At 36.0% G+C, this 26959-nt stretch overlaps 1 protein-coding gene across 1 annotated transcript in view; it reads right to left on the bottom strand.

Annotated features, from left to right (window-relative positions):
* Nucleotides 1–26959, bottom strand: part of ADGB (androglobin) — a 216491-nt gene that overhangs the window by 89427 nt on the left and 100105 nt on the right. The window contains exons 13-18 of the mRNA NM_024694.4: nt 24966–25095; nt 10621–10654; nt 8967–9153; nt 8437–8500; nt 4531–4633; nt 1709–1850 (exon numbers count right to left, since the gene is read on the bottom strand). Of these exons, the coding sequence (NP_078970.3) occupies nt 1709–1850; nt 4531–4633; nt 8437–8500; nt 8967–9153; nt 10621–10654; nt 24966–25095 (660 nt within the window). The remainder of the gene's footprint in view (nt 1–1708; nt 1851–4530; nt 4634–8436; nt 8501–8966; nt 9154–10620; nt 10655–24965; nt 25096–26959) is intronic.

The raw sequence follows: 26959 nt of genomic DNA, 5'->3' as shown, positions 1-26959 counted from the left end.
GGCATTTGACCTGTGAGTTGCTTATTCACACTTTGGAACTCAAATGAAGTAAAAGGTTAGGGAAGAGTTCAATTTTTAACACAGATGAGATAAGGATCTTTGAATTTGCACTCTATAAGAACCCTACGGGATCATGAAATCTACGCTTTACTTATTATGTAGGACAAAAATAGTTAGGCTAAATACCAAACTTCTCTGCAGTACATGCTGGAGTGACCTCCCACACACTGCAGTCATGGTGTGAAGACTAGTCTTGATTTCTCCCTAACAACAAGAAAAACTCAAGCAGGTATAGGGCTGTGTAGACTTCCTAGTCTTTTTCTCACAAATGCATCATTTCATGTATGTTAATCGTGTCTCCTCTACCAGGTTGTCGTATCGTGAGAGCAGGGATATTCATGGTCCTCCAGTTATTGAGCATTTAGAGCAGCCATCCCCATTCTTTTTGGCACCAAGGACTGGTTTCACAAAAGACAATATTTCCATGGACTTGGTTTGGGGATGGTTTCAGGATGAAACTGTTCCACCTCAGATCATCAGGCATTAGATTCTTATAAGGAGTGTCCAACCTGGATCCCTTGCATATGCAGTTCACAATAGGATTCCCGCTCCTATGAGACTCTAATGCTGCTGCTGATCTGACAGGAGGCAGAGCTCAGGCACCGCTAACCTCCTGCTGCATGGCCCAGTTCCTAACAGGCCTCGGACCAGGACCAGTCCATGGCTCTGGAGTTGGGGACTGCAGATTTAGAGCATGTTCAAAACATACATGTTGATGGTTTAGGTTCTGTGGGGGGAAAAGCGGATATAAGAAGAATCTTTATTAAATTCCTTGTCCTTGGTTGTCTCAAATGAATAAGCACTCAGACAGAGTAATTTGATTTGCTGGAGTATAAAGGGGAGATGTGAGAAATGTCAGAGTTTCAAAATGTAGTATTTTGTAGAAGTACTAGATGCTTGACACAATTATTTTAGCATTTGTTGCTGAGGCTTTGCTTTTTGCATAAGAGACATAGCTTTTCATTGATCACATAGAATTAGCATGATTGATCTTGGGAAAAAAGTAAAAGCTAGTGAAAATGTTTATTTCAAAGCCTAGTGAAAATATTTCTTCTGAAATTTGAGGTAATATTTTGAATTTTATTCATCAAAATAAAATCTTTTCCATTATATGTATTTTCTTTAAAATTGAAACTAATGTGTTTAACCAGCTTTATCTGAATTAAAAATAATATCTAACAAAAATAAGCCACAAGAAAATCTAGATTGGTAGGGGAAAATGCATATTTCTCAATTTGCATTTAAATAAAATCAAGGTTTTTGCTAAGTATTATATTGGTGAGAAAACTTATAAGAAATATTTATGAGAAAATTCATACTAAAGTATTATAAATGTTATGTGTATAATATTTATAAATTAATTTTAGAAAATGCTGGGTTAAACAAGCTCAAGCAGTATTGTTGACTAAATATATTCCCAGAATCTTTGACAATTATGAATCTCCCAAAGGGATATTCATTGTACAGTATTTCTCAATGTAGTTTTTTGGAAATATTTTTCTCAAGAATAATAATCATGGACCTATGCCTTGAGAAATTGCTTTGAGAAACAATGTCTTAGAGTCCATATTGTTTACTTCTTTAGTAACCAACAATTTGCAAGCCTTCAAACAATTTTTATTATGGGAAAAATGAAGCCACTTCATACCCAACAGGCAGACGAACCACTGTAGCCTTGGTAGCATATGTGTGAATCTTCAGAACAAGACTGCCTGGTTTCAGGGATTTCCAAGAAAACGTTTCAGCTGTGAGAAGTCCAGGCTCTATGGGAGGACTGTCTTTTGTTAAGGCTTTAAGATAAGTAAAAAGGTATTAAAGTTTGATCATGAAAGTGTAGTTGGCATTCACTAGTACTGTCTTTTTTTATTAAGTAACAACATAAATAACAATAATCAAGCATTAGAAATATTACTAAAATGTTCATAAAACATTAGAAATTACTCCAGGTAAATTACTAGAAATAACACTTAGGTCTTCCTCCCTGTTCAATATTCTTCCTTGTAACAATCCTCTCAAGTGAAGAAACCAGGAATAGGAAAATTAGAATCAGGAGGACATTTTTCATTGTAGTATAGCATCGCTTTTATTATCTCTATGGTAATAACTACAATATCCTTCTAGATACAATTTTAAAGGAAGAAAACATATTACATCTTGAAAAATAAGAGATTTCTCTAAAATAGTGTAAAAAATAAATCCAAATATCCCACTGTTTATCAAAAAAATTATTTATTTTTTAAAGACGGGTTCTCACTCTGTTACCCAAGCTGAAGTGCAGTGGTGCGATCTCGGTTTACTGCAACCTCCACCTCCTGGGTTCAAGCAATTCTCCTGCCTCAGTCTCTGGAGTACCGGGGATTACAGGCATCTGCCACCACCCCTGGCTAATTTTTGTATTTTTAGTAGAGACAGGGTTTCACCATGTTGGCCCAGGCTGGTCTCGAACTCCTGACCTCAGGTGATCTGCCCGCCTCAACCTCCCAAAGTGCTGGGATTACAGGAGTGAGCCACCATGCCCAACCTGTTTATCAAAATTTTTATCTTTGATTCAGTCTTTGACATTATGTAGAAATAGCAAGCAATTAACAAAGTTTAAATTTAATATCAAGTTTTTTATTAAAAATGGATAAATAATATAGGCTAATTGTTCATCAATGACTGAGGGCAAAATAATTTCCCCCCTATTTCCAGAAAACACTGGAGTTGAGGACATAAGGTCACAACATTACCTGAAATGCCTTCATGCCTATAGAATTTAAATGTTCTGGGACATGGTGTGGCTTCAGGGCTTTTGGTTTGGTAGATGCACTAAATTTAGATCACTAAATTTTGGAAAGTTTATTATACAACAAGTATTTTCTAGCCACCTGCTCTATGTTAGACACCATTCAAAACATTGACGATATTTCAGTTTAAAAAAAATCCCTGCCCTGCATGTTGACAAAACATTCAGTATTAAGCATTTGGGAAATACTTATTGTACATTTACAGTGCCATGTACTGTTAATTTGAGCTGAAGAAAAATTCTTTAACAAAACAGGCCAAAGAATAAAAGAATGAAGTTTTGTGAGTGTGTGCCTGTGTGTGCGTGTGTATGCAAGGGTTTGGCCTTGTAGAGGAGCAGAGATTGTCTATCCATTAGAACAGAAGGAAGGTGGCCTAGATTTTGAGAAAGTTCATTGTGGGAAAGGGAGGTACAAATTCTGAAAGCAGAAATCCTTTCTGATTTCTTCTGTCTATTCAGTGAGATCAGCAGCAAGGTCATCATCTGAACATGAGTGAGAGTAAGAGTAGGTGTTGAAGATTTGAAGAGAGAGAGAATGTTTGAGGGTTTGCAATAGGTCATCTACAGGAATAAATAAGAGTGGGAGAATAAAAGAATGACAGAAATACTGGCAGTGCCTAAGGCCTTGTTGAGATTTGTGCTCCTCAAATGTAAGCAGGGCTAGCCAGTGTGTTTGTTTTTCTCCCCTCCAATCACATTCAGCTGCTCTCTTGAAACTGTGGGTTGGATATGCATCAAGTTTAACCAATAGTGAAGTTTTTCCAGGAAAGTAAGATGAGGGGGTAAAAAGAGCAAATGTGTGGAGGCTATCTCTGTGATGGACAGAGAAAAAGTGGCAGGGTAGATAGTAATGAAAGTCCCAGTGGCTTCCAAAATTGTAGGAGTGGGAGTTCTGTAGAGTGAACTAGAGAGTCAAGCAGTGAGCGGGGAGTGGGGTGCTTGAAATTGAGATGACTGAGATGATGCCCAAATTGGTAAACTTAAAGTCTACAAGGTAACCATGAAAGTAGGGGACCAAGGTGGGATAGAGGAAAAGATTGTTGGAATGTCAAATCAAAGAAAAATAGTTCGTTTTTCAATAGATTTTGAAATAATTAAGAATGATGACATTTATAGGTCAACAACTACAACACTAACAGATTGAGTGAGTACACCAAAAAGGTGAACAGATAGTACAACCAGAAGAGGTGCAGGTGGCAGCAGTGGGCATAATCCCTGGTGTCTGTGGGGTAAAAGCATCAGAGGAGGTGGTGTAGGTGGTCCTGTGGGACTCTGGAGAAACTCTGGAAAGGGAGGAAGTTCCTCCATCCACGGTCTTCTAAAAATATTTTTAAAATTTTTTTATTTTTTTTGAGAGAGAGTTTCACTCTTGTTGCCCAGGTTGGAGTGCAATGGCGCGATCTCGGCTCACTGCAACCTCCGCCTCCTGGGTTCAAGGGATTGTCCTGCTTCAGCCTCCTGAGTAGCTGGGAATACAGGTACGTGCCATCACGCCTGGCTAATTTTGGTATTTTTAGTAGAGACAAGGTTTCACCATGTTGGTCAGGCTGGCCTAGGACTCCTGACTTCAGGTGATCCACCCGCCTCAGCCTCTCAAAGTGCTGGGATTACAGGCGTGAGCCACCACGCCCTAGCCTGAACATGATCTAGGCTTTAAGGCTATCATTTTCTCAGAGCCCTCTTACCTCCATACTCCCCCCAGCGTACCAATGCAGAAAAGCAAACCAGTAGTTCAATAGGTTTTAGACTATCTACAAATAGATAGTAGGACACTCGTTCTTCTGAGAACTGCAAGAAATTAGACCAGTTGTCATACTTAATATCAGTTCATCAATGCTATTATTTCACTTCTAATGAAAACATAGTATAACATCTAAGAGTTACAGGAAACTTACTGTGTTGTAGGCACCACAATAAATACTTTATGAATCTAATTATATGAAGAAAACTATACTGGGTGAATGTTGGCAACCGTCTGTGGAAACTGGGTCTGCAGCAGCTGTGTTAGACTAGCCACCATATCAGAGAGAGGCAGAGCTCTCCTCTATGAGGACAGAAGAGGGATATGCTTGTTCCAGAAATGAGAAAGAGAAGAGGCCGAGCCCAGGGCAGAGTAGTACTCAAGCATGGGTCTTTGATGGGCAGGAAGGCCATAGAGTAAGAAACTTTGGCAGAGAATGGGAATGGCCAATTGGATGTCTTATTTTACAGGGTGGTATGTGAAATAAGCTCTCTCTTCCTTCTTTCCACAGGAGCTTCAGATATATACCTGTCGTGGTTTGGCTCTGTGTTTCCACCCAAATCTCATGTCAGATTGTAATCCCCACACGTTGAAGGAGGGGCCTGGTGGGAGGTGATTGAATCACGGGAGCAGACTTGTCCCTTGCTTTTCTAGCGATGGAGTTCTCAGGAGATCTGGTTGTTTGAAAGTGCGTGGCACTTTCCCCTTTCCTGTCTCTCTCTCTCTCCTGTTCTGCCATGGTAAGACGTGTTTGCTTCCCCATAGCCTTCCACCATGACTGTAAATTTCCTGAGCCCTCCCAGCCATGCTTTCTGTACAGCCTGTGGAACTGTGAGTCAATTAAACCTCTTTTCTACATAAATTACCCAGTCTCAGGTAGTTCTTTATAACAGTGTGAGAATGGCCTAACTCAATACCCATTGCTTGCTGATACAGCAGGCTGTGGGTTTTTGTTTTGGAGATGGAATAAAGTGCTTCGTAAAATCAAAACTCTCCTTAAAGGATAGTTACATAAACGTTACATGTATATAATTTCGGTTCATCCTATATGGGTACTATTAATGTATCTAATTATACATTAACAGTACTTATTAATAATACTTAATATAATTAGATACATTAATGTATATCTAATTACACAGAAAGGGTAAGCTATTTACCAAAGGTCACAGAGTTTGTAGTAGCAAAGATGAGAGAAAAAAGTAGGTAGAGCCATCTGCCTGACTCTAAGGCTGGTACTCTTGACTAATGCATTATTATTGCCTTTCAAGTTCTCAGTGCTTCAACATAATTGTGAGGGATGGCACACAGTAAATGTGTTCAATTAACTTAATTGAATTATACTATACTTTAAAAGTTTTTCACATTATTCTACCACAATATTAAAAAAAAGTTAATATATGAAAAACAAATATGTAGCAATGCTATGAAAAGGGAAGCCTTGTTATTTAATCAACTATAACAAAGATTGCTAGAAATGCTTGATACAATGCAATCATGACTTAAATGTTTACTCCTCCCCCTATGTTCCATTTGTTTTCATTTGACACTTTATTTGCATCCTGTCAGCTGTGACATGTTGTTGATATAGAGAGTTGTTTCAAACATTCACTATCTGAAAATATGAAGGACCCTTGGACTTGTGAGCCTGGCATGCATGCCTGAGGAGGAGTTTCTGCCCGGAGCTCATTTTCTGTCATTTTCAAGGGCCTGCGAATTGAGGGGTGGGGTGTTCCTGAAGGCCACAAAGGGCCTCTGCCCTGGTGCCAGCACATGGCACCATTGAAATGACCCTGCTCTAACCTCACACTGAGCACCAAGGGAACATCTGTGGATTGTGCTGAGGACAGGCCTCGGGCTCTGTGTCCCCAGCTCGGCAGGCCACTAAGGTCTGGAGTGTCTGGCCTCAGACCACAGCTGATCCTTCCTTTCAGGCCATGCTAAATGCCATTAAGATTATATTCCAATGACTTCCAAGAAAGTTATTTTCTCATACCATTAATTAAAAAAAATTCAGGGAAATAAAAGGAATGTCATAATTTTATTTCACCAAGCTGAGACTTTTAAAAGAAAAAAAATTCTGTGCTTATCATGACTTCATAAGAATAAGATCAGAATAAAGAACAGTTGACCAGTTTACCACATACACTTTTAAATTAGGGTGGTTATGTGTACCAAAAGCTTCTATGCAACTGTCTTTAGTAAATGGCAGCCAACATTTATTATTACTTACTAATAGGCATTCTTCTAAGTGTTTTACATATGTTATTTCACATTTGATCTGCTTCATTTTCCTTAGATGTAAAATGATGGTAATAGTATCTCTTTCACAGGGTTTGCTATGAGGAGTGAATGCAATACAGAACCTAAGGGCCTGCAACATCTATAAACCATTGTCATTTTACCACTAGCAATAGTTTAAATATGGAAATATGCTTAAATAAACTGTAAACTGTACATTATGCTGATATCATACTCTGGGTTAAACTATTCCCAATTAATTGTTGTGTTATCTCTATAAAGTCAAAGTATTCCTCTAGGTGTTTTCACATACTCCAGGACTAGGTGAAGGATTTCTTTCCCCCAGTCACTATTCTTATTTTCAGAGGAGGCAGCCAGCAACAAAGCAGCTCTTGAGGTCTGCTCAAAAGGTTTTCTCTGCCCGTTTTCATCTGTTACAAGGGCAATGGAAAAGTTTCAAGGACTCTTTACTTCCTCCAACTCTGCGTACTGCTCATGGAGGTGTGGGATTATCATTAGGGGCTTGGGTGGCCTTGTCCTATGACAGGACAACATGTAAATGTTGGTACAGTTTAGTTTCCCGGAATATGTGTCATAGTTTTTCTTAAAATTCTGCTCAATATGTGGTTTGTTAATTACTTTAATCCACAATTTTTAAATTGAGTTCCTACCTCATGGCAGGAATGTTCTTATAAGTGGTAAACAAAAAGATACAGCTCTTCTAAAGATGCTAACAGTAAGTAGGGGGAAGAATGGGCACAGGGAAGCAATCAGAAAGTTGGGAGGGTGGGAGGCAAATGCCAGGCAAACATAGAGCATACAGAGGACATGAAGCTGAGCCTTTTTTTTTTTTTTTTTTTTTGAGATGGAATCTCACTCTGTTGCCCAGGCTGGAGTGCAGTGGCGCAATCTCGGCTCACTGCAACCTCTGCCTCCCAGGTTCAAGCGATTCTCCTGCCTCAGCCTCCTGAGTAGCTGAGATTACAGGCGCATGCCACCACACCTGGCTAATTTTTGTATTTTTAGCAGAGATGGGGTTTCACCATGTTGGTCAGGCTGGTGAAGCTGAGACTCTTAACCCAGATTCCATGGCCAGGGAAGGGAAGCCTCACAGTGTCAAGGGCATCTGTGCTATTCTGAAGGATTTCTAGGCATTAGCTGAACAACAGCAATGAGGATAACAGGGATGAAAGGACAGAAACTCCTGGCAGAGGGATGATACGGGGGAAAAAATGCAGGCATAATGGTGGAGTGTCCTTATGTTTTAGGAAACATACACTATTCAATAAATACTAATTGAAACCAAATCTAGTGAATTTATTTGTGCATGTCCTTCATTTTTTCATAATTCAAATTTTTCTTAATGTGAATTTGTATAATAATTCAGGCCAGGATTCAACATAGTCAGATGGATCACATTTGTGGTTATGAGCTAGTGGAATTTTGCTTATTGCTTGGATAAGGATTAGTGAGAGACTCTAAAAATTAATTTTTAAAAATATAACTATGTTACAAGTTTAGAAATGTTTTGAGAAATTTGAAGATGTTTTCTACGGGTGCAATTCTACCAAAAATTTAAAGAGAATAGAAAAGATTCTAACATACTTACCTTAAATTCTGATTTTTGAAAGTTAAGGCAATATGAACTTGGCTTGTGGAAAATATATATATTTCTGAAAGAAAGACATTTTTAACAGGTTATTGTCATTATAGGCAAAGACTAGTACTACATGTTAAGTTTCTTATAATCAAATTATTGTAGGAAGAAAGTTAAAAAATAACAACAGTATTGGGTCAGTTGCCCTAAAGGGACAAGAATGATTCTAGTGAATAAGATTTCTTCATTTTAATTAAGAAACAAGCCTTTGAGGAAAAGCTGCAACTGGCCTAAGATTGGTTTGGCTATTAATGTGTTATATGGATAATCAATATATTTATTTTCCATTTTATAAATTTTATTTGATATTATACCAACACTAGGCTGTTATTGGCTTATTTTGGATGATGCTAAGAATTAATAGGTTATATAACCACTATATTAAATATGCAAAAATAAATCTTAATGTGACTTTGTATACTAATGCAGCTCAGGGTTTAACCACTACGACATAGTCAGATTGATCCCATTGGTATACTTACTGAAAGCATACACAGAAATCTTCAAAATCTAACCATATTTCTTTAGAAACACTATTATTTGTTGTTGGAAGTTCTTCCTGTGACTTTTCCTGTGTTGCTGTGGTCTGGCTGACTATCTCTCTTTCCAAGTTTAATCCATCACTCTGATGAGCATCACCCAATCCAAAGTCTGTTTGTTCATCTGTGCCTAGAAGACACACATGTCAAACACATCTTATATTGTTAAATAACAAGTTATTGAAATATGTAAAATGATAAAGGGAAACTTAAATATCAAAGTCTATTTTTGGGAAAATATTTATGAGATAATCCAGGCTTCATACATTTATGGAGGTCCACACAGGGACACATTTCATACACAAAGGAGAATTTAATCACAATTTCTATGCATATCAGGGTGTTCAAAAATTTCAGAATTACTTTGACGAATTTGTTCACAGATTCTTTTTTTTTTTTTTTTTTTTTTTTTTGAGACGGAGTCTCGCTCTGTCGCCCAGGTGGGACTGCGGACTGCAGTGGCGCAATCTCGGCTCACTGCAAGCTCCGCTTCCCGGGTTCACGCCATTCTCCTGCCTCAGCCTCCCGAGTAGCTGGGACTACAGGCGCCCGCCACCGCGCCCGGCTAATTTTTTTTGTATTTTTAGTAGAGACGGGGTTTCACCTTGTTAGCCAGGATGGTCTCGATCTCCTGACCTCATGATCCACCCGCCTCGGCCTCCCAAAGTGCTGGGATTACAGGCGTGAGCCACCGCGCCCGGCCCTCACAGATTCTTTAGAGATTGTGAAGTTACAACACAAATTAGCTAGATTCTTTACTGAAAATCTGCTCTAGATGGACATATTCTTATAGGAGGGGGTGGCTCAGACAACAGAAAGGGAAATGAAAACTTGAAAGATCTGGTGCAACAAATGTGTTTCAGTAACACATTTAATCACTCCCCACAGTCAGTGGTTCTAGAGCCTTATTTTATATTTACCAAGTAATGTGGCATACCATTTTTTTTTTTTTTTTTTTGAGACGGAGTCCAGGCTGGAGTGCAGTGGCACGATCTTGGCTCACTGCAACCTCTGACTCCCTGGTTCAAGAGATTCTCCTGCCTCAGCCTCCCAAGTAGCTGGGATTACAGGCACACACCACCATGCCCTGCTAATTTTTATATTTTTAGTAGAGACAGGGTTTCACCATGTTGGCCAGGATGGTCTCGATCTACTGACTTCGTGATCTGCCCGCCTCAGCCTCCCAAAGTGCTGAGATTACATGCGTGAGCCACTGCACCTGGCCGGCATAGCATTCTTAAAGACTTCTGGATCCAAAAATATATATATAATTTTGAATTCAATTCTTGGCCAAGTCTTTTATTTAGGAACTAAGGAATTTGCAGTGGTTTTAGTGTTTCGATCACAGGGTGCAGCATTAAAACACATGAACTTTATTTGTGGGTAATCAGATTCTCTTTCATTTTTATTTTTAGCTTCAATTTAACAATTGAAATTATCTCTTTTTTTAAAGCCCAGAGCAGACTAGACTCAGCAAATCAAAGGAGACACTGAAGAAAGGCTGCTGAGAGCCAGAAGGGAAGCTGTCAAGAAGCAGAGATGCCCCTCTGTATCTTGATGTACATTGAAAAAAGTCACAGGAAAATTATTAATTTACCTTTTCCAAGTATAACTTGTGAAGCAGTATTTCCCTATGAATTAAAAGAAACACACTTTGAATCCAACAAAACATTACAGCTATCCAAAGCACCAAAGTTACTAAAAGAGCTAATATAGTTTTTTTAAACTTTGAAGAAATAGATTTTTGGGAAAATTTACTAAAACCTACCAAAAAAATTTGTTTTTAACTTTAAATGTCAAAGGACATGAATGGAATTAAACAATTGACTGAGTATTTAAGCTTGTCACATTAAGACACAGAATATGTTAATTTACTAAATGATTGAATCTTGTAACAAGAGTTAAATTAAAACAGTAATATCCCTAAGTAGACATATTACTTGGCACAAGGTATCTGCTATTAATATAGATAACTTAATAAGATTATGACTGAAAGTAATGTACAGAACCTAAAAAGGCTGATTTCAATTATAAAAATGGCTCCTGAAAATTTTAACAAGGAATTTAAGTTGAATTCATGTGTATAACTTTTGTTTTAATTATTTAATATCAAATAATTGTGTTCTGGAACACAAAAATAAATATAAAAAGTAAAATGGTATAAACTCATACAGGCTAATTACAGGTAATGTCAACAATATTTTAAAAATTATGTAAAGTGGATGGAAGAGATAGCAGAGTAGAGATAGTTAAATACTAAGTGCAAAGCAAAGCCTATCCATGCCTTAGGACCTCAGAAGCAATTAGCAGGTATCTGAGCAGGAGAGAATGAGACATGGGCTTAAAACACCGACATGGGTTGAATGTCTGTAGAAGGATTTGCACTTCTTCTCCCTAATCTTTCTGGTTCAGCATCCAGTCTTCTTTTGCCTAAACAGCACACTTGAAATTGCTTCAAGTGGAGAAATTAAATGAGAAGTTTCTTAATCTGAACTCACAGATACTCTGGAAGTAGAAGAGTCTACTGTACAGACAACAGAGGAATTAAGTGAAAGTCCACAAGCTAAGTGCTGAGACTTTCAGCTTCTCTGTGCTGCTCGACCTTCATGGATGGACAAGTATATACCATTCCCTGTGATGAACTTTAGAGGACCATTAACTGAGAAACTCACCAGAGTCAGGGGAAAAAAAAAAAAACAAGATGCACATTGGGAGCCAGCCCCACCTCCAAATAAAACTCACTCATCCTCAATTATCCTAAGTTAGAGCCAACAGTTGATAAGCTCTGGCCATGCCATTGAGCTGCTTCTAATCAGCAACTCTTTGGTGCCTTAAATTTCTTAAATATATATGTACAACAAAGTACTGGCAAACAATTGAGGAGAGATTCTTATATGAAAGAAAGAAGCTAACAATTGTGGGTGGCAAGATTCATAGAAAACAGAAACAATATTATGAGGAGTAATTTTTAAAAGATTGGTAATATTGGAAAAATAAGAGGATACTCATCTATCAAATAAGAAACTTCTACAAAAATAATAAAGAACAAGAAAGAGCTCTTAGAAAATAAAAAATAGAATAAGTGGCATAAACAATACAAGCTTTAGGCACTGAAGCGGATACAGACAGAGACAAACTACAAAACTCCTAGAAGAAAACATAGAGAGAAGCTTCATGACACTGGATTTGGCAATTATTTCTTAGATATGACTCCAAAAGCACAGGCAACAAAAGTAAAAAATAGGTAAGTTGAGCATCAAAATAAAAAAAAAGAAAACTTCTGTACATCAAAGGATACAATCAACAGAGTGAGAATGCAACCTACAAACTGGGAGAAAATATTTGCAAATTACATATCTGATAAAGGGAAAATACAAGAATATATATAGAATTTCTAAAAAGAACAAAAACAACAAAATAACCCAAACAATGCAATTAAAAAATGGGCAAATAATTTGAATAGACCCTTCTAAGGAGACATACAAATGGCCAACAGCACATGACAAGATTCTCAATATCATGAATCACTAGAGGAATACAAACCAAAATTACAATGAGACACCATTTCATGCCCATTAGGGTGGCTACCATAAACAATACACATAGAAAATAATAAATGTTGGTAAGGATGTAGAGAAATTTGAGAGGCACTGTTGAGAATGTAAAATGGTGTGGTCACTGTGGAAAACAGTGTGGTGGTTCCTCAAATGATTACCATATCCAGCAATTCCACTCTTAGGTATATTCCCAAAAGCATTGAAAGCAGAGTCTCAAGGAGATAGGTGTACACCCAAATTCATAGCAGCGTTATTCATGATATCTAAAAGGTTGATGCAACCCAATATCTATTGACAAATGATTGGATAAACAGAATGTGACATACATATACAATGGAATATCATTCAGTCTTCAACAGGGAAGAAATCTTGACACACGTACAAACACGGGTGAAACCTGAGAACATTAACATTATGCCAAATGAAATAAGTCAATCACAAAAACAGAAATACTTTATTATTCCACTTATGTGAAGTACCCAGAATAGTCAAAGTTATAGGCACAGAAAGTGGAATGGTGGTTTTCATGGGCTGGGGGGAGGGGAGAATCAGAAGCTTTTAAATGCATATAGAGTTTTACTTTTGCAAGATGAAAAGAATTCTGGAGATTGGTCATACAATAGTGAAAATGTATTCAATACTACTGAACTGCACGCTTAAAAATGGTTAAGATGGTAAATGTTGTGTGTATTTCACTACAACTAAACAGTTTTAAAATATTTAAAATAAGGATAAATATATTAAAATAAATGAGAAAAAAATCAAGTACATTAGAGAATAAATTGGGAGAAAGGTAGTGTAATAGAAGATCCACAAAGCAGAGAAAATGAGAAGAGAAAATTATTGAGGAAGTGGTATAAGAAAATTCTCCAGAACTAAATAATTTGACTTCAGATTGAAGTGGTTCATGCAGTATGCAGCACAATTCATGTAAAAACAAAACAAAACAGAACAAAAAAAACAACCCAGGGCCTGGCATGGTGGCTCACACCTGTAATCTCAGCACTTTGGGAGGCCGAGGTGGGTGGATCACCTGAGGTTAGGAGTTTAAGACCGGCCTGGCCAACATGGCAAAACCCCATCTCTACTAAAAATACAAAAAAATTAGCCTGGTGTGGTGACAAGTGCCTGTAGCCCCAGCTACTTGGGAGGCTGAGGCAGGAGAATCACTTGAACCTGGGAGGTGGAGGTTTCAGTGAGCCAAGATCACTCCACTGCACTCCAGCCTGGGCAACAGAGTGAGACTCTGTCTCAAACAAAACAAAAAAAAACAAAACAAAACCCATACCAAGGCCAATGATAATGAAATTTCATAATGCTAAGAATGGAAAGAAGGTCCTAAAAGAGTCACATATAAAAGATCAAGAATCAGAATATCAGAATGTCATTTTTTTTTTTTTTGACAGGATCTGGCTCTGTTGCCCAAGCTGGAGTTCAGTAGTGTGATCTTATTTCCCTCCAGCCTCAAACTCCTGGGCTCAAGCCATCCTGCTGCCTCAGCCTCCCACAGAGCTGGGACAACAGACATGCACCGCCATGCCTGACTAATGTTTTTGGGGTTTTTGTTGTTGTTTTTTTTTGTTTGTTTTTGTAGAGATGGGGTTTCACTGTCTTGCGCAGGCTGCCTCAAACTCCTGAGCTAAAGCAATCCACCTGCCTCAGCCTACCAACATGCTGGGATTACAAGTGTAAGCCACCATGCCCAGCCCAGAATGTCATCTTTAAATCAAGAGCAATGCTTAAAATTAAAAGACAAAGGATTAAATAAGACCTTTACAATTTTGAGGAAATGACTTCCAAATTGAAATTTTATATCCTGCCAAAATATAAATTAGGTGGGAGAATGGAATGTAAGCATCTTCAAGCATGCAAGTGCTCATAAATTTTACTTCCTGTACATCTTTTCTTAGGAAGTACTGGAAGATGTGCTACACTAAAATTAGGGTTTAAACCATGAAAGAAGAGAGACCAAAAATAGGAAGTCCATCAGAGGAGAGAGACAAAAGGAAGTCTAAAGGTACCAGGAGCAAAGTTCTCTCAGTTTGCACTGAAGCAAGACAGCAAAGGAGTGCATGGGGTGGTTTAAAAAAAAAAAACAACAGGCATTTATAAAATATTTGATGTATTTGACTATGTAGAAAATGATGGATAGAGAGGTTATAATTTTTGTAGTGTTTGGAAAGACCTACTAATGCTTCCTATAGTAAAGTGAGCAAAGGAAAAAGTGCAGTAATTTGCTTGTATAAAACCTTGTGTAAGAAATGTTATCATATTTGCTTCAGCAGTAATAATCCTTACAAAACAGGAATGTTGTTTCAACCAAAAATTATGAAATGACAAAATCTTGAAGACAGGGGAAAGTGTAGATATGGGATAGTAAGTGAGTTCAGGTGAGCTAAATCTTTATCTCCCATAACAGGAAGTCAAGAGATAACGTCTAAATTAACAGATCAAGATAAAATAGCATGTAGTCATTCAACAAATATGTCATGGTGTTTGCTATATGCTAGGCATTTTCACAGGTGCCGAGGGAGAAACAAAATATAATAAAATAAATATCTCTGCCCTCATGAAGCCTACTATTTAGAATTATGGAGATATGTATCAGAAGAAGCAGTTAAATAAAATAAAAGTAGGTGACTCTGGAGAAGACTGAAAAATGAGGAGGTGTAGGGCATGCTGGCTATTTTTTATGATTATCTTCTGGATAATCTTTGTCTCTTTAAAACGAATACAATCAATAATTTAAATTTTTTTTTTAAAATTTCAAAAAATGTTGACAGATATTCATTCTCCTCAATCACCTATTAATCTCTGCTTTCTAATTAACACTAATAGATTTGTTCATCTGTATGTGATGATGTGCCCTCCAGAGTATCTTATACCATCACATAAGCTATCACATTCAACAAATAAGAGCCAAACCAATTAAAGAGGAGTTTTTCAAAGTTTCATTATGATTTGGAACATCAGTTTATGGATACCTTCTGTCTCTAAGAATCTATTGTTATAATTTAGAACTACATTTACAAGCATTATCATATTGCAATGGCTCAAAATTTTATTATAACGTTTGAAAGTTGCATAAGAATTCCTCTAAAAACAATTGTGTATCTATATGGGAAAAAATAAAATTGGTCTCATCATTTTATATCATACACAAAAATCAGTTCCCAATTAATTGGATTTTATAAAAGTAAAACTATAACATTTTAGAAGATGATTAGAAAAATAGTTTTATGACCTAAGAATAGGGCAAATTTCTTAAACCAGATATAGAAATCTCAATCATATATAATCATAATATGATTTTATATATATATGTAATATGATTATATATGATTGAGATTTCTATATCTGGCTTAAGGAACCAGATTTATATATGAATATATAAATAAATTCAACCACATTAAAAATAAAAAAATTGTTTATACAAAGACACAATATTCAGGAGCTCTTAGCAGTCATATGGAAGAACAAGACTTTCCTGTATTTGCCCCCTGCAAAAACATCAATTTGAAAAATAATCCACATAAGAAAATATCTTCATAAGAGCTAAAGAAACTTGGTGAAAGGTTATAGCAACTGAATGTAGCACAGAAATAAGACACATTGAAGAAGGTAGTAAGGACAGTTTTGCATCACACACATCACTCCCAATCCCAGGAAAAGAGAGATACCCTCTACTTGGGAGAAGGAAAAGGAAGTAAGAACTGGAGTTTGCCTTGGTCCTAAACACAGGCTGGACCAGTAAAGCAGTAAAGTAGATCCCTACCAGGCCTAGGGTCCAGGCCACCCAATAGACCCTGGTGGCGGGCTGGCCCCCATAAACTGAGGCCCCAGGCCCACCCTTGCAGAAGCTGGTACTCTAGGTCTATGCCAGTATCAGTCTAGCCTCTGTGGAACCAGATTTCAGGCTGGTTTCCAAGGACATACATTCTAGACCCAATCCTGCAGACGCAAGTGCCAGGGTTGCCCACCTGCTGATCTAGGCACTAGACCAGCCTGTTCAAGGAGTACAGTAACAAACCTGCCTGTGGGCAACCTGCCAGGAATCTCTAGATGATCTGACTGGTGAAGGGCTTTCCCAGACAAGGCCAGTCTGCAAGTATTAGAATAATTTACTACTCTTAAATTTACAGACACCAACTCGTGGTTACAAGGACCAAGAACAATAATGGAAACATGACCCCACCAAAAGAACAAAATAAAGCACCAAAAGCCAGCTCTAATGAAATAGAGATTTATAATCTGCCTGACAAAGAATGTGAAATGATTGTTTTAAGGAAACTCAGTGAACTTCAAAAATAGCAAAACACAATTAAGTGCTATCTGGAAAACAATGAACAACTAAGATAAGAAATTTAACAAAGAGATTGGAATTATTTTAATAAATTAAACAGAAATTCTAGAGGTGAACATTACAATGAATGAAATGAAATTAAAAATGCAAGAGAAGGTCAACAGCAGAATCAATCAAGCAGACAAGCAAAAGAAAGAAACTGTGAAATTGAAGACAGGCTATTGGAAAATATGCACTCAAAGTGGAAAAAAGAAAAGGAATGAAAAAGGACTACACAGTTTATGGGGCAATATCAAAAGAGCAAATATTTGAGTGATAGGAGTTCACAAAAGACAAAAGAGAGACAAAGGAGTAGAAACTTACTTAAAGAAATAATAGCAGAAAACTTCTCAAATCTGGGGAAAGTTATATATATCCAGGTAGAGGAAGGTAGAAGGTCTTCAAAATCAGATTTAATCCAAATAATACTGTGCACCAAGACATACTGTAATCAAACTGTCAAAAATCAAAGACAAAGAGAGGATTCTGAAAGCAGCAAGAGAAATGAAGCAAATAAGGAGTTATAATTTCTCAGCAAATTTCTTAGTAGGAACCTCACAGGCCTGGAGAGAATGGGATAATATAGTCAAGGTACTGAATAAAAATAATACTAAGAAAGTATACTGTACTTAAAAAAGATGTCCTTCAAAACTGAAGTGGAGATAAAAACTTTCCCAAACAAAAAAAGCTGAGGGAATTCATCACCACAAGATCTGTTTTATGAGAAATACTACAGGGAATTCTTCAAGCTGAAAGAAAAGAATGGTAATCAGTAACATTAAAAAATGAGAGTATAAAACTCACTGGTAAAAGTAAGTACATAGTCAAATTCAGAATACTCTAATACTGTAATGGTGATGTTTAAATCACTTACATCTTTAGTATGAAGGTTAAAATTTAGTATGAAGGTTAAAATTACTAAAATAATAATAATTGCAATAATTTGTCAAGGGATATACAATATAAGAGATTGTAAATTGTTACATCAAAAACATAAACCATAAGAGAGACAGAGTAAAAGTGTAGAGTTTTTGTATGCGATCAAAGTTAAGTTGCTATCAGCTTAGAATATGCCGTTACAGCCATAAGATGTAAGCCTCATGGTATTCATAAAGTTACAACCTATAGTAGATACATAAAATCAAAGCAAACCACTAAAAACATAACCTAATTACAAAGGAAAACAGAAGAGAAGAAAGAAACAAAGGACCTACAAAACAACCAGAAAAAAATTAATGAAATAACAGTAGTAACTGCTTACCTACCAATAATCATCTTGAATGTAAATGGATTAGATTCTCCAATCAAAAGGCATAGAGTGGCAAAATGTATTTAAAAAACAAAGACTCAACTATATACTGCCTACAGGAGACTTACTTCACCTTAAAGACACATATAGACTGAAAATAAAAAGATGGGAAAGGATATTCCGTGCAAATGTAAGGCAAAAGAGAGCAGGGATAGCTATATTTATATCAAATAAAATAGACTTTAAGTCAAAAACGGTAAAAAAGAGACAAATAAGGTTATTTCATAATGATAAAGGTGTCAATTTCTTAACAGGATACAATAATTATAAATATGTATGCATCCAACATCAGAGCACCTAAATGTATAAAGCAATATTAATAGATCTAAAGGGGGAGAGAGACTGCAATACAATAATATTTGGAGTCTTCAGTACTCCTCTTTCAGCAAAGGATAGCTCATCCAGACAAAAAATCAAAAGAAAACATCAGACTTAAACTACACTTTAGATCAAATGGACCTAACAGATATATACAGAACATTGCATCTAGCAGCAGTGGAATACACATTCTTCTCAAGCTCACAAGGAACATTCTCCAGGATATTCATATGTTAGGCCACAAAGCAAGTCTTAACAAATTAAAGAAGATTGAAATCATATAACTACCTTTTATAACCACAATGGAATGAGTCTAAAAATCAACAACAGGAGGCATTTCAGAAAATTCACAAATACATGGAAACTAAACAATGTGCTTCTGAATGAGATATTAAGAAGGAAATTTTTAGAATATCTTGAGACAAATGAAAATTGACATAGTAACATATCAAAATTTATAGGATGCAGTAAATGAAGCTCTAAGAGGGAAATTTAAAGAAGAATTTCAAATTTAAAACATAATGTTACACCTCAGGGAACTAGAAAAAAAGAAAGCAAACTAAACCCAAAATTAGTAGAAGAAAGGAAATAATAAATCTCAGAACAGAAATAAACAAGAAAAGTAAAAAAAAAAAAAAAAACACTAAGCTGATCTTTGAAAAGATAAACAAAACTGACAAACCTTTTGCTAGACTAATTAAGAAAAAGGAGAAAAGACTCAAACAAAATCAGAAATAAAAAAGGAAGCATTACAAATGATACTGCAGAAATACAAAGAATCCTAAGAATCTACTATGTATAATTATATGACAACCAATTGGATAACCTAGAAGAAACAAATTTCTAGACATATTATACAAGTTACCAAGACTGAATCATAAAAAATATAAAATCTGAACAGAACACCATGAGCAAGGGGATTACATTAGTAATAAAAACTGTGGCTTATGTCTGTAATCCCAGCACTTTGGGAGGCTGAGGCAGGTGGATGACGAGGTCAGGAGATCAAAACCATCCTGGCCAACATGGTGAAATCTCGTCTCTACTAAAAATACAAAAATTAGCTGGGTGTGGTGGCATGCACTTGTAGCCCCAACTACTCGAGAGGCTGAGACAGGAGAATCACTTGAACCTGGGAGGCAGAGGTTGCAGTGACCCGAGATTGTGCCACTGCACTCCAGCCTGGCCACAGAGCAAGACTCCATCTCAAAAAAGAAAAAAAAAAGAAAAAGAAAAGAAAAAAAAAACAAAAAACTGTCCCATGTTGGCCAGGTGCAATGCTTATGCCTGTAATTACAGAACTTTGGGAGGCCAAGGCAGGAGGATTGAAGCCAAGAGTTTGAGACTAGCCTAGGCAACATAGCAAGACCCCATTTGTAATTTTTTTTTTTTAAATTAACCAAGTGTGGTGGTGCATGCCTGTAGTAACAGCTGCTTGGGAGGGTAAGGCAGGAAGACTGCTTGAGCCCAGGAGTTCAAGGCTGCAGTTAAGTTATGATCATGCCACTGCACTCCAGCCTTGGCAACAGGGAAAGACCCTATATCTTAAAATAAAAAGTCTCCTATCAAAGAAAAGTCCAGGACCTTATGGCTTCACTGCTGAATTCTACCAAATATTTAAAGAATAATTAATACCATCCTTCTCAAAGTCTTCCAAAAAAATCTGACAAAGAGAGAATAATTTCAAACTAATTATACAGGGCAAGCATTATCTTAATACCAAAGCCAGACAAGGACACTATAAGAAAATAAACCTTAGGTCAATATCGCTGATGAACATACATGCAAAAATCCTTAACAAAATACTAGTAAACATAATTCAACAGCACATTAAAAAGATCATTTACCATGATTAAGTGGGAGTTTTCCCAGAGATGCAAGGATGGTTTGACATATGCAAATCTACAAGTATGATATACCACATTAAAAGAATAAAAGATAAAAACCATGCAATCATGTGAATAGATGGAAAAACAGCATTTCACAAAATTCAACATCCTTTTATGATTAAAAAACCTCTCAACTTACAACTAATATAAAGAATGTACTTCAACACAACAAAGGCCATATATGACAAACTCATAGCTAACATACTCAACAGTGAAAAGTTGAAAGCTTTACTTCTAAGATCAGGAGTAAGACAAGGAAAATAACCACTTCTATTCAACATATCACCTAAAGTCCTAGCTAGAGCAATTAGGCAAAATAAAGAAAAGGCACTCAAATTGGAAAGAAAGAAGCTAAATTTTTCCTCTTTTCAGATAATACAATCATATATAGAACCCCTTAAAACCCCATTAAAAATCCTGTTAGATCTAATATATAAACTCAATAAAGTTTCAGGATACAAAATCAACATACAAAAAACAAAAATAGAAATCAGTAAAATAATTCCATTTACAATAGCTACCAAAACATATTTAGGAATAAATTGAACTAAGGAGGTACCTATATTCTGAATACTATAAAATAAAACATTGATGAAATAAAATAAGACTCAAATAAATGGAAAGATGTCCCATGTTCATGAACTGAAAGAATTCATATTGTTAAAATGGCTGTACTAGCCAAAGCAATGTACAGATTCAATGTAATCTATCAACATTCTGATGAGATTTTTCACATACTAGCCAAAGCAATGTACAGATTCAATGTAATCTACCAACATTCTGATGAGATTTTAGACAGATATATTAAAAACATCCTAAAATCCATGTGAAACCACAAAAGACCCTAAATAGCTAAAGCAAAAGAACAAAGCAGGAGGCATCACACTACCTGACTTCAAAATACACTACAAAGCTATAGTAACCCAAACAGCATATATCACCATAAAAATAGACCAATGGAACAGAGTAGAGAGTCAAAAATAAATTCAAACTATTATGGTCGAAAAAGATTGACAAGAACACACAATGGAAGAAAGGAGAGTCTCTTCAGTAAATGATTTTGGGATATCCATTTACAAAAGAGGAATGTCACCTCATACCATATACAAAAATTAACTCAAAATGCATTAAGAACTTAACTTTAAGACCTGAATGTATGCTGAATGTATGAAACTATTAGAAGAAAACATAAGGGATAAGCTCCAAGAACTTGGCCTGGGCAACAAGTTTTAAGAAATAATCCCTAAAGCACAGGCAACAATTGCAAACAGACAGAAGGAATTACATCAAACTAAATTTTTTTTTTTTTGCACAGAAAAGGAAGCAATTATAAGGAGACAATCTATAGAATGGGAGAAAATATTTGTAAATCATACATCTGATAAGAGGTTAATATTCAAAACATATAAGGAACTCAAACAACTCATCATCAAGGAAACAACCCAATTGAAAAATGAGCGAAGAATCTGAATAGGCATTTCTCAGGAGAAGACATACAAATGGCCAACGTATGTGTTTTAAAAAATGCTCAACATCACTAATCATCAGAGGAACATAAATTAAGACCACAGTGAGATATCACTTCACACCTGTTAAAATGGCTGTTATCGAGAATACAAAAATAAGTGTTAGTAAGAATGTGGAAATAAGGGAAACCTTGTATATTGCTGGTGAGAAGGTAGAATGGTGCAGCCACTGTAGAAAACAGTATGGAGGTTGAAAAAAAAAAACTAAAAATAGGGCAATCATGTGATCCAGCAATCCTCCTTCTGAGTGTGTATCCAAAGGAAATGAAATCAGTGTGTCAAAGAAGAAAGAGATACCTGCCTTCCCATCTTCATTATAGCATTATTCACAAAGCCAAAATATGAAATCAAACTAATTGTCCATCCACAGATGAATGGATAAGGAAAATATGGTATATATACAAAATAGAATACTATTCAGCCTTTAAAAAGAAGGAAACTTTATCATTTGCAATAACTAGGATAAACCTGGAGGACCTTATGTGAAGTTAAATAAGCCACACACAGAAAAATAGATACTAAGTAGAATGGTAGTTACCAGGGGCTAGATGTGGGTGATTGGGAAAATACTGGTCAAAGGATACAAAGTTTCAGTTAGTAGAGATAAATTCAAGAGATCTGATTTGCAACACGGGGTCTATAGTTAATGTATTCTTGAAAATTGATAAGACAGAAGATTTTAGTGTTCTCACAACAAAAAATGAAAGGAACGTGAAGTAATACATATATTAATCAGCTCAATTTAGTTATTCAGCTATATATATATTTCAAAACATCATGTTTTACACTATAAATGCATATATTTTTTATCGATTAAAAATAAATTTTAAAAAGACAAGATTGAAAAGATAAACTTAGAACATATGAAATACATATCTAATAAAGAATAAGTCTCCATATTTCACAAAGAACATCTATGAATTGGTAAAATAGGAACATACAACCCAAATGGAAATTAGGCAAAAGACATAAGCAGGCATTGCACAGCAGCACAAACAGAAATGGCAGTAAATGTATACAAAGCTGTTCAGTCACAATAACAACCAGTTCAATGGAAAAGCAAAATGAACTACTTTTTCTTACCAATCTGATTGGCAAAATTTTTAAAAAATCCCTACACACTCCATGTGGCTATAAGGAAATATTCATACAACCTGGGTGTAATCTTATCGTGTATATTTAGCAATAATTATTTTAAAATTCCAATAGAATTGTATTTGTTGGCCAAACAATCCAACTACATGTACAAATTCATTCATAGCAGTAGTATTTATAATAGCAAAAGATTAAAATCAACCCAAGATTTCATCTATAGAGATTGATAGAAATAAACTACAGTTCATTTACATAATAAAAAATTATGAAGCTTTAAGAATGAAGATACTCTTTAGGTGTAGATTGGAATTATCTCCAGCATATATTAAGTATTTTTAAGATTATTTAATTTTGAGTAGAAAAAAAGGAAGTTGTGAAATATTGTGTGTGTGTTTCTTTGCATTTACATTAAAAAATCCTGAAAGTTTCCTACGGAGGGCAGAATGGTGAAAATGGGATAGAGAGGTACATAAATGGAGGCAAGATTTCTTTACATTTGTTTTACATTGGAAAGCTCAGCATCCTACTGTTCAAGGTCATTGCCAAGGTCTGATTTTTCAAATTCCAAAAATAGCAACCTCAGGCATATATGGGTTAATATGTCAATACATTATGCATTTATAATAAAAAATAAAATACCATTTTATACCCACCACATTAGCAAACATCATACAGTATCAAATGCTGTCATAAAGAAAACTCTTGGTGTTGACAGGTGTGGGTATTACTACACCCATTCAGAAAATGGTTTGGCATTTTATTGTAAGGTCAAGGAGGTGAATGAATGCCCTATTAACTAGACTCCTAGATTCATATCCTAGAACAGGGTTTCCTAATATGATATCCAATGAAGCTCATAGTTAAATTTCACAAATCCATTAATGTGGATGGTTAGAAAGACATTACATGTTTGACACTCAGCATTTTTTTTTCAATTACAAATTTGTCAATACAGGCAAGTAGTCACAATGTTGAGAGCAATAACTGACCCTATCCACAAAATGTCACAATATTTTATATTATATTATAGTTGTTGCAAATATCTTACAAGAATATGTAAGCTGATTACTACTTTGAAATTACAGCAGGTATTAGACCTGTTGCTGTATTTCATGTGGTCGTATCTCCCCATCTACAGATACTCCTGTGACCTATATAGCTAGGTAACTATAGCAACTATGCTTAGTAGTCATTCAACCACCAAATAGTGAAGTTGTATGTTCTCTCACAGTGCTAATTATGTTCCTTATCAATAATTCTCAGTTAATTAATATGGAGAAAAAGATGAGTTGTTTTCAACCTGTTAGAGTTTTAAAAAATTGTTAAGGGGAGCCATAGCACGTAAAGGGTTATGAACCCTGAAACTAAAGAAACTCTTGTACCTGTTTCAAGGGACATTTGAGAAAAATCATGGTACCGTTGCTTACAATAGTAAGAAACAAAAAGCAAGAATAGTGAGAAAGAATATTTCTTACAATAGAAACAAGAAGCAACTAATACAGCCACTAACACTGTGATAGACTAAAAACCATTTGTAGCATAATTTTATACAATAAATACCATTGGTTAGTGAAATGAACAGGACATGAAACAAAAGGGAGGAATCTCACAAACAAGATGTTACATTATAATTGGCAAAATGAGAAAAATATGAAGTTGTTTAATACCAAAATCTGAGTGGCCGACAGAAAATACAACCAAGAAGAAACACACAGGGGACTTCTATAGCAGATGACTATTTTCTAACCTAGGTGATAGATACATAAGAGATTTATTTTAACACTATTCTTTATACTGTTCAGATCCATGTTATACATTCTTTTGTATGTATAGTATGTTTCACAATGTAAGGAAAAAAATCTTGTCTCATTAAGAGTTGGGCCAACAGTAAGAGTAACATAGTCACCTGAGATGTAGCTTTTGTTATTTGACTCAAGTCTGTCTGGCTATGTGTTGCAGTTTCATCAGTTTCACTGACGGAAGGTAAATCAGATCCTGGAGGTATTCCTTTCTTAATTAAGGAGCGCACAAAATGCCTAAAAGGAAAACAAAACCCCAAACTTCTGTTATTTTGATCTTCTGTTTAAAGTTATTAATAAATAACTGCATTTTTGTCAACAATAGAAAGTTCTGATTGTGTTCTATTTGTCATTCTCATTCTTTTACTACCAGTAATGTTTTTTACCTCATGTTAAAACATTGGATATCTTTCTATGCTACTAAAAATACTGTATATTAGTCAACAAATTGATGTAAAAATTCTAGAACACTATTTGTTTCAAAGCTTTGGTGGTCATCTTTGAATTTTGATGATCAAAACAGAAATTTGATATGTGGAATTGATTTAATTATCAGAGTGATGTATCAGTGAAACAGAACTAGGAGTCAGAAATTTAATTATGAGTCTTGAGCACTTAAGTTTATAACTGTGACATTCATACCAGCTACCCGAGCATACAGTCTTCCTTTCAAGTAATTGGCTGATATGACTCCAAATTGCCCTTGCCATCGCTAGAATTTTATAGGTACGTAAAGACATTTTTGTAGTATATGTATTTTTTAAGTAAGTGTGTTTTAAAGATAAATTCCATGTACATAGACTTCATCAACTTGGATATTTTTTCCAGTTAGTGATCTGTAAAAATTCACTTGTAACTAAACGTCTCTGATTTACACAAAACTGCCACTAGAGGGTAGCACAAACTTGGTTGAGTCTCCAATTCTACCAGACATGGCCAGGAGCCAAGAATGGGTAAACCTGGAGTGTTGCTACAAAGACAGTGTTCCTAAGACAGAAAGTTGTGATAGCAGTCACTTTCAAAGGCTCACTAAAAAACAGGCTTGCTCTTATGTTGATCTGCGACAGCAAAGCAGGACAAGGGGCATGTCTATCACGTAGGATGAAATGCCATCCACATATCTCTGATTTGGCTCTGTCAGAGATGAATATGTAAATGAACTAATAACAGATTCAAGCAGTGAATAGATTAGTCGAATCCAATCAGGTGATGAAGCCACCTGTATCTGGGTATTAGAATTTCATGTACTTTAATCAAGTAATACAGCTGAAAGAAGATAAAAAGTAAGTAACTCAGGGAATTTAGGTTATGAAACTAATCCATTTGGGGTCCCTATTGGCATAGAGATTCTAAAAGGCTGGCTATGACTATTCAAATTGTAAGAAAATTTGTCCTTGAGGTCTGCAGTTCTATTTCTTACAACCCACAAATCTCTGATATGCAAACTCAACTAGCTGAGAGATAAACAAAAATTATTTTGAATAGCAAAATCATCATCTTAGAGAGTGTGGTGGTGAATTTTAGGTGCCATCTTGGCTGGCTTGAGGGCTGCCTAGATGACCAGTAAAACATTATTTCTGGGTGTGTCTGTGAGAGTGCTTCCAGAGGTGATTGGCGTGCGAGTCGGTGGATTGAGAGAAGATCCACCCTCAATGTAGATGGGTGTCATCAAATTACACCCATCTTCTGCCTGGGCAGAAGAAAGTGACAGAGGAAAGGTGAATTCACTTTCTCTCCTGGAGCTGGGATGCCCTTCTTCTCCTGCCCTTAGACATCAAAAGTCCAGGGCTTCTGCCCTTCGGACTCTGGGACTTGCACCAACAACTCCCTGGATTCTCGTTACCTTTGTCTTCAGACTGAGAGTTACACCATCAGCTTCCTGGGTTCTGAGGCCTTTAGATTTGGACTGAACCACGTGCTACTGACCTCCCTGGTTCCCCAGCTTGCAGACAGCCTATCTTGAGTCTTCTCAGCTTCCATAACCAATGAGCCAATTCCTTTAATGAACCTCCTGTCATATATCTATATTTGTATCTTTATCTATATCTATGTCGATGTCTATATTCCGCATTAATTCAGTCTCTCTGGAGAACCCTGACTA

This window comes from Homo sapiens, chromosome 6 (assembly GCF_000001405.40).
Source record: "Homo sapiens chromosome 6, GRCh38.p14 Primary Assembly".
Taxonomy (NCBI): Eukaryota; Metazoa; Chordata; class Mammalia; order Primates; family Hominidae; genus Homo; species Homo sapiens.
This window is presented reverse-complemented; position numbering and strand designations above follow the sequence as displayed.